The following is a 7,635-nucleotide window of genomic DNA, read 5'->3' on the forward strand; positions in this document are numbered from 1 at the left end:
TAAAGAAAATGTGGTGTGTGTGTGTGTGTGTGTAAATACACAATAGAATATTATTCAGCCATTAAAAAGGAAATCTTGCCATTTTCAACAACATAGATAAACCTGCAGAACATTATGTTAAGTAAAATAAGCCAGACACAGACAAACACTGTATGATCTGACTTACATGTGGAATCTAAAAAAGTTGAACTCATAGAAGCAGAATAGAACAGAATAGAATGGTAGTTGCCAGAGAGTAGGGGTTGAGGTAGAATGGAGGGATGTTCATCAAAGGGTACAAATTTTTAGCTGTAAGATGAATAAGTTCTGGGGATCTAATGTACAGTATGTTGACTATTGTTAATAATATTTATTGTATACTTTAAATTTGTTAAGACAGTAGATCTTAAGTGTTCTCACCACACACACACACACACACACACACACACACACAATGTAAGGTGATAGATGTATTAATTAGTTTATGACAACATTTCCATGATTTATATGGATATCAAATCATCAGTTACCCCATAAATATGTATAATTCTTATCTGTCAATTATACCTCAGTGAAGCATGAGGGAAAAAAAAGAAATATTGCCAAGTAGCTTCTCAAAAGGTCATGCAAATTTGCATTTCTATTGGCAGTGTGTGACAGTAGCCATCTCATCATTTCTTTGTCAATGCTGCATTTTTAACAAAGCTTCCAGGTACTTCAAAACATTTTTGGAAATGAGCAGGAATATTTCCATATTAATAAAAATCAACTCTCCTATCTCCCACTTTCAAATTTCTAGTCATACAGCAAAGTTGCATTCATACCCTAAAGCTGATAATGCAGCTATAGAAAATTTTGATGACTAACAAATCTTATATAATAATAGATGTTTTCCCAAATTCCTGTTCTTAATAAAGATCTTTTCCCTTTGGTGATACCACTTATATTTGATACCTCTAGCATGTTAAATAATTTAATAGAATTTTTTAAATGTGCTGGTAGTTGGAATTGCAATGTTTGGGGGATGATTTTTCTCTAAGATTGAATTTTGGAGGCAAGCTCTAAACAATTATGTAAGCAACTGGAGAGCATTCTCAATGATTTTATAAGCTATCATATTGGCTCAGATATGATAATTTACAAAGCGGCCTGAGACCATTTTTGTCTTTAGCTACAAAGGGGTTTCTCTAATATCCTGATTGAGCTTTCCTTTGATACTTCACAATTGTCTATAGCTTCACTCCACCACCCCAACAGACCTCCAGAACTCTTTATCAAAACAATAACCTACCTATGGGGGGCAGAGAGAGAAATTATTAATGATATTTTAAGTTGGACTCACATCAAACAAATTTACCGGCAGAAGAAACAAATACAAGATAATGACTCATCCTACCTCAACCTTTTTTTTTTTTTGAGTTTTTACTTATTTATTTTTTGTGCAGCATTTCCACTTTTCCAGTAAGAATGAAATATATATGCAAGTACACGTTATGAAATATAGTATACTGCACTCCATTGAATGGTTATAGAATAAAAGATTCAAGTTAAAAGAAGCCTCACAAATTTCTAGCCCAATCTTCTTATTTTGCAAATAAAATCCGTAAAAAGGAAATGATATGACCTGTCTGTGGTCCCAGAGTAACACATGGAAGAGAAAAAATATCAACCAAGGGCTTTTGCTCCACAGTCAGATTTAGTCACCATGCATCAATTTTGACTTCTCAGCAAGCTCTTAAAAGGATAGTCTACCTATAAAGGCAAATAGTAAATAACAGTTGGTATCATTTACTTTATTAAACACTTTCAATGTGCCAGGCTCTTTGCATAGGTTTTCCCACTTTATCTTTACAACTTCCTCATAGCATGTGGCAACAGAGGAAAGCAATCATTAGGTGATTTGCTCAAGGTCACACAGTTAGGAAACAATATACACAAGGACTGGGACCTAGAGTGTGCTACTCAAAGTGTGGTCCATAGACTATCTGATTAGAAATCCCAAATTTCAGGCCCCATCCCAGACCTAATGTTCATAGTCTTCCCTTTAAAAAGATCCCCCAGTGATTCACACACACATTCAAATTTGAGCAGCACTGGAAAATCCAAAGCCTGTTTTTTTTAACCATTTCACAGTACTGCCTCTAACCTCTGGAAAAGTCAAAGATACTATTAAAAACTACCGTGTGGACATCACATAAGTAAGAATTAAATACAGCCCACTGCCTTAAGAACTTTTAAAGATCAACATTCAACTCTAGGAGGAAAACTACAAACAACCAATATCCGAAAACTGCAGAATAGTCCATGTTTAGATCTACCAAAGGTCATGTTTACATCAATTCCAACAAGAGCAAAATTTTAATCCACAAACACATAAAGATTCTGATATTGTTATTAATGGGAATCTCACAAATATGTGAAAACCAGGAAAACTAGCAAGTTCTTGTGAGATACTTCCATTCTCTCTATCTTGTGAGATACTTCATTCTCTCTATCTCTTCCATCCTCTCTATCTCAATTTCGTCTCTCCAGATTGGAGGAAGGCAAGGAGTCACACATATTTGAAAAAGAATTTTAAAACCATAATGTTACTTCCAAGAAAAATTATCACAAATATAATATATTGAGATAGTGTTCTCATTAGGTAATAAAGACTAAAAAAAAAATAAAACTGACAGCAAGTTGGATACAGAAGTCCCAACCACTGCCCATAGGAACACACCCCAGTTAGTCTTCTTGCCATAATTTCTCCAAAAAAACAACTTGACATTTTTGAATCCATAAATAACACATGGAATCTGTAAAGTACAACATAAATAATAGGCCAAAATTATTTACCAGAACTTACAGTGAAAACGCTACAGAGAGGGAAAGAAAAGGCACTAAACTGTACAATTAATGTTACAAAGTTACATTAGCACATAAATAATTTCAGTGGCAAGTCATAGGATTCACATGCATATTTTATTACACTGTAAGAAATAATTTTTCAATTTGACCCTGATCCTTCTGTGTACTTTGAAGTCTGCAAATCAGCAGTATAGCCTGTAAGTTTAAAGAAATTTAGAAAGAATTGTGAAGTTAAAAGGTACTTTTGATGTTTGTTCTTTTTCTCCCATCACAACGGCATTTGATACAACCAAAGAAAAGTGGAAAATGTTAATGCCCAAGAAATTTCCATTGCAGGCATATTCATTTAACCCTTTATGACCACGGCCTGTCATAGGTCAAAGGTTAACACAAGTTCTCAGTGTTCTTAGTTCCCAGGCCCTGTCACCCTCCTCCTCTTTTTAATAACTCTCAATACTATCACTGAACCTCCTTCCTGCATACTGTTGCAATCAGCTCCCAACTTCTCTTCCTGTCTTTTCCCCCCTCATTTTACACAGTGTTTCAGGCTGAATCTTCTGAAGCACAGCTCAGATCACAGTACTCCCCTGCTCAAAAACCTTCAGTGGCTCCCCTTTATCTGCCAAAGGAAATTCACGCAACCTAACTCTCAGGGCCTTTTATAATATGGTCCCAACTACCTTTCCAATTTATTTCCCATGGTTCCTACATACAAACCTTAATTGCAGGTCATACTGAATCTTTGCTATTTGCCACCTCACAACTTTTTCCTTTCTTGACTTTGCTTATAGCAAGGTTGATATAGAGCACAGACCTGAGAGCTAGACTGGCATGTTTGAATCCCAGATTGACCTCTTGGTAGCTGTGTGGCTTTGGGCAAGTCATTTAGACTCTCTGTGCATCAATTTTCTCATATGCAAAATGGTGACAGTACCCATCTTACAGGAGTGTTAGGAGGAACACTTGAGTTAATAAAGTATAGGCTGAGTGTAAACATATGAGGTTTGCTGTCATTGCTACTATTACTGTTTTCCTCCTAAATTCTCAACTGCTTACCCTCACTCCCCGTTCTCTCTCAAATGTGAATGTTTTTCTCCTCCTATCTCTGTGTTCAAATCCACCCTTCAAGATCCAGCTCAAATGAGACCTTTTCCATGAATTCATCTCAATTGCTCTTAAGGAATGCCTGGCATTTTAATAGGCAATGAAAATGATTTGTTAAAGAATATGATTTAGCACTGACCATTCTGTATGGTAAATGCCAGATTACAGGTCTTTCTCCTCGACTGAACTCAGCCGAGGTCAGCCACAGCTGTACCTCCAGCGCTGGCCCAATAAGCATCAGTCCCTAGCATCCCTAAATAAATGCCCATTCATGAATAAATAAATAAAGTTGAATTCCTCTAGCATCATATTTGCACTTACTTCATGTCCATTTTCTCTTATTATATTAATTAGGGTATATATACATATAGAGAGAGAGCGAGAAATTACTAACATATTATATTAATCGGTAAGATCCATATTTGACTTACCTTTATATTTCTGGTGACCAGCACTAACTCATATATAGTAGATGCTTAATTTAAAAGAAAGGTGGCAAGGCCGGGCACGGTGGCTCACGTCTATAATCCCAGCACTTTGGGAGGCCGAGGCAGGTGGATCACGAGGTCAGGAGATGGAGACCATCCTGGCTAACACGGTGAAACCCTGCCTCTATTAAAAAATACAAAAAATTAGCCGGGTGTGGTGGCAGCCGCCTGTGGTCCCAGCTACTCGGGAGGCTGAGGCAGGAGAATGGCGTGAACCCAGGAGCGGAGCTTGCAGTGAGCCGAGATCGCGCCACTGCACTCCAGCCTGGGCGACAGAGCAAGACTCCGTCTAAAAAAAAAAAAAGGAAAAAGAAAAAAAAGAAAAAAAGAAAAAAGAAAGGTGGCAGAGAGAAATGAAGTAGAGAAAGGAAGGGAGGAGGGACTATGTCAAACACTATTGCTAATGTATTGCGTGAAGAATTCCCCTTTTGCTGATTCCCACTGTCAGAATGCCTCTATCCAGACCAACAGAAAATTCATTATGCCATAAAAATTAACTTTATTATGCAAGATTTCTCCAGATTCCAAAGCATATGCCAGCCACATTGCCAAGGATTTTTTTACAAGCCTCCATCCCAACTTATTATCTCCTTATAAAAAGAAACAAGGGGTAGAGAGTATGTCTCCACAAAATGGAAAAACCCTCAAAGAGGTGTTTTTTTTTCTGTTCCTTTACCTTGTGGGCAATTCTTATGGTGTGTAACTGTCCCATGGCTCAAGGTTAGAGCAGGGATTTCTCTTTCTCCCATCCCTACTATGTAATTCAAACATTCTGCATACTCCTTCATCTGGAATGCTTCTGGCAGCCAGCTAAACAAGATTGTTCTGGGATTTCCAAGGCTCAGAGAAAACTATGCCAGCCAGCAAGGTGAAGGATGTGGGAGAGAAGGCTCCTCAATTCTACTCCATTCAGAATACCTCTCTCCAGCAGGGATGACCCTGAGATGCTGCTACCCCTTCCAGACACTATTACAAAGTCAGAAGGCAGAGGCTGAGAATATACCCAAGACCTTTCAACAGAGTTCTCATCACAGCCTCCTCAGGGACTCCAAGAACAAACTCCAGTTGGTACTGCCAAATACAGGACAGTCAAGAGGACTTTCAAGGAAGACAAGAAGAAAACATGCTGCTTGTTTCAACATTAGCACCTGACATGTAGCCAAAGCATCATAAAGAAAAGTAGTAGAAGACTTCAAGAATATGTCTACAATGAAAATTGGTAGACAGAGAGTACTATAGTGATAATGAACATAGAATATGGTGCCAGGCCTACCTGGTCATAATCCACTCTGCCTCTTACTTACAATATAACTGTGGCATTTACCTAAACTCTGTGAGCCTCTGTGAGTTATTATGATTTCATAAAATAATGTTTATAGTATGCTATGCATAGAGCAAACACCAAATAAGTGATAGCTACCAATAAGAAGACCAATATAAAACAATGATTCTTAGAAGACAGCTATCTTGTTCACAGCCATAAAATGTTATCCTTGCGAAATCAAGATTTGTTATCATTTATTCTGCCCAATCTGCCAAAATAGGATATTTTTATTCACTGATCAAGCATTTATTCAAGCAAATTAATCAAACATAAAAAAATTTTGAATAATAAAACATAATATGTAGATTCAAAATAAAATCTGATACTTAAATGAGTATTTCTAAAGACTATGCAGGTGAATCTTTTTAAATTTTTCATAAAGTTATCTCTAAAATTATTTTCTTACTAACTTACCATTGCTTTTTATCATAAATGTCAGGGGATAGGAGAAACAATATGCCAGTCTGGGCCAGGCATGGTAGCTCATGCTTGTAATCCCAGCACTTTGGGAGGCTAAGGCAGGAGAACTGCTTGAGGCCAGGAGTTGAAGACCAGCCTGGGCAACAGAATAAGACCCATCTCTACAAAAAATTTAAAGATTAGCTGGGTATGGTGGTGAATGCCTGCAGTCCTAAGCTACTTGGGCAGCTGGGGCTGGAGGATCTAAGAGTTTCAGGCTACAGTGAGTTATGATTGTGCCACTGCACTCCAGCCTGGGTGACAGAGCAAGACCTTGTCTCTAAAGAATGAACAAATGAATGAATATTTTTAAATGCGAGTCTGAACATTTTTTATCTAAGTCAATTAAAATACTAGTCATTGAAATCAAACAATTGAACACTAACTGATGATATAGCATCTCTTAACAGTTCACATTTTCCGTGTAGCAGCAACCAAGGAACTTTTCTCTGCTATTGGCTACCCTAGTTTTCTTCTACCCTTCTTGAGCCATGGAATTTTTCCCGTAGTCCCCAACTTTACCCCCACTGCTTCTATCTTTGTGGCTTTGCCCTCTTTTATCGCCTAATAAGGCTGGATAGCACTTTGATTCCTCACCGTCTAACACACGGCACTTTAATTTTGAGGATAGAGAATGGCTAACATCAAGTATTCCTATAATTTATTAGGCTTACTGTATTGTATGCTGTGGTCACTTAAAAAGAGGACTACAATACTATATATAACACACTCAGAAATGTTGTATAAAGACCCTTTTTGAATTCATAAATCTTTTCTTATACAGCCAGATTATCATAAAATGTATGTGTGGGTCGAGCGCAGTGGCTCACGCCTGTAATCCCAGCACTTCGGGAGGCCAAGGCAGGTGGATCACCAGGTCAGGAGATCGAGACCATCCTGGCTAACACAGTGAAACCCCGTCTCTACTAAAAAATACAAAAAAATTTGCCAGGCGTGGTGGCGGGCGCCTGTAATCCCAGCTACTGAGGAGGCTGAGGCAGGAGAATGGCGTGAACCCGGGAGGCAGAGCTTGCAGTGAGCCGAGATTGCGCCACTGCACTCCAGCCTGAGGGACAGAGCAAGACTCCATCTCAAAAAAAAAAAAAAATGTATTTGTGATGTGCAAATGAAAGAGCATTTCCTGTGTCTAGTCAGTGGTATTCCCAATCTCTGCCTGCCCTTAAAAAAAGTCTGCACTGAAAACAATCAACAAAAATAAATGTTCCTCATTAGCAAATAATTCTTTGTTTTTCAGTGAGCAATGCTACCAAAATGACAAGTTAAGATTCTTGAATTGTTCAGTCCTTACATTTCAGTAAATGCATCAAATAGATGGTTTAACTTAGAGGGTTATTCCAGCAATTAGCCTGAGTTCCTCAAAATAATAAAAAATTATGAAAATTCAATTATTTTTATATACTTGCTAAAATA

At 37.8% G+C, this 7,635-nt stretch overlaps 1 annotated feature.

Annotated features, from left to right (window-relative positions):
- Positions 6,708-7,209: an enhancer, noted in NCBI's record as "H3K4me1 hESC enhancer chr7:91302583-91303084 (GRCh37/hg19 assembly coordinates)". NCBI's record gives its function as "activates a minimal SCP1, AML or CMV promoter by ChIP-STARR-seq in naive H9 embryonic stem cells {active_cell/tissue: H9 hESC(naive)}" and the evidence as "EXISTENCE:reporter gene assay evidence [ECO:0000049][PMID:30033119]".

This window comes from Homo sapiens, chromosome 7 (assembly GCF_000001405.40).
Source record: "Homo sapiens chromosome 7, GRCh38.p14 Primary Assembly".
In the NCBI taxonomy this organism is placed as follows: Eukaryota; Metazoa; Chordata; class Mammalia; order Primates; family Hominidae; genus Homo; species Homo sapiens.